At 42.4% G+C, this 1512-nt stretch overlaps 1 annotated feature.

The window, feature by feature from the left end:
• Positions 884–1512: an enhancer, noted in NCBI's record as "OCT4-NANOG-H3K27ac hESC enhancer chr13:46448135-46448763 (GRCh37/hg19 assembly coordinates)". NCBI's record gives its function as "activates a minimal SCP1, AML or CMV promoter by ChIP-STARR-seq in naive H9 embryonic stem cells {active_cell/tissue: H9 hESC(naive)}" and the evidence as "EXISTENCE:reporter gene assay evidence [ECO:0000049][PMID:30033119]".

Genomic DNA, 1512 nt, shown 5'->3' on the forward strand with positions numbered 1-1512 from the left:
AGTCATCATTTGCCGAACTTGCCCCTTCACCCCAGAAAACTGTTAATGCCTCTTGGCTTCTATTGTCCTATCGAATAGGACTTATATTCAGTTCTGAACTTGGGAGTGTCCAGGAAAGTCAGAAGGCAGCAAGGCTTTTACTCCAGGGATCCTGAAAGGCATGAGACCATCCAAGCAGGTACCTGGTCTTTCTGTTGTGGCTGGCTTGTTCTAACTGGGATCATTCTCAACCTTAAAAGCAATGCTAGGCCAGGCTCAGTGGCTCTTGCCTGTAATCCTAACACTTTGGGAGGCCGAGGCAGGAGAATCTCTTGAGGCCAAGAGTTCAAGACCAGCCTGGGCAAAAAATTGAGACTCCATAACTGACAAAAAAAAAAGCCCATAAGCCAAGCATGGTGGCACATGCCTATAGTCCCAACTACTTGGAAGGTTGGGGCAGGAAGATTCTTGATCCCAGGAGGTTGAGGTTGTCGTGAACCAAGATCATGCCACTGCATTCCAGCCTGGGCAACAGAGCAAGACATTGCTTTAAAAAAAAAAAAGCTAAAGCTGAATCACTGGAGAGGAATGTTCTGAGTAATCTAGGCACTGAAGGATTGTCTATTGTTCCCCCGTTGTCTATTGATTATTTCTATTGCCACCCTGTTATCCGGCCAGCAAGCAGCTCTTCCATCCACAAGCCATACCTTGGACATATTTTGCCAACCACAGCAGGACAGCACTGAACAAAGTTCTCTTCATGGGATGCGCTATCCCAGCTCCATTTTCATCTCAGCATTCCTTGTCTTTTGGGTGTGCCTGCTATAGTTCTTACTCCTGCTGCCTCTGCAAATAGTTTCTGTTGCTTATTTCCTGATGATATACTTTGTCTCTTGGCAATGCTGTTATTCCACCCCAGAAACACAGCCCCTAAACTGTTGCATAGGGTCTTTTTTTTTTCTTCTTCTTCAACTGTTTGAAAAAGATGATAAGAGCATCTGAATCTGCAATACAATAACCAGCAACCACTTACTGGACGAGCTTCCCAGGGGAAAAGCTCAGCTGTTGAAATGCAAATGTCGGATCAAAAGAGGTGAATCCCTTCTGAGAATAAGGGCTGCCCTTGCTACATTGGGCTTTACCAAATATTTCAAATCGCCTTTCTGAGCTAAGCAAGGAGGAATAGTGGTATTTATCATTAGTCTAAAGCAGTGTTCTTAAATTATACGTCGTAATCCATTAGTGGATTCTGAAATCAGCTTAGTAGTTTACAACTGGCATTTAAAAATGGGAACAAATAGAATAGGATTAAAATATGAGTGTACTTCTCGTAATAAAGATACATTTCTTTGTGAAATTTTTGTTTTAGTGTATCCACATACACACAGATATATGAATGTGTGTATTAGAGTAAGACATACTATATATTTATGTTTATTTTTTAACCTTCTTGTTTTTTTTTTGAGACAGAACCTGTTCTGTCACCCAGTCTGGAGTGCAGTGGTGCAATCTCGGCTCACTGCAACCTCCCAC

This window comes from Homo sapiens, chromosome 13 (genome assembly GCF_000001405.40).
Source record: "Homo sapiens chromosome 13, GRCh38.p14 Primary Assembly".
Taxonomy (NCBI): domain Eukaryota; kingdom Metazoa; phylum Chordata; class Mammalia; order Primates; family Hominidae; genus Homo; species Homo sapiens.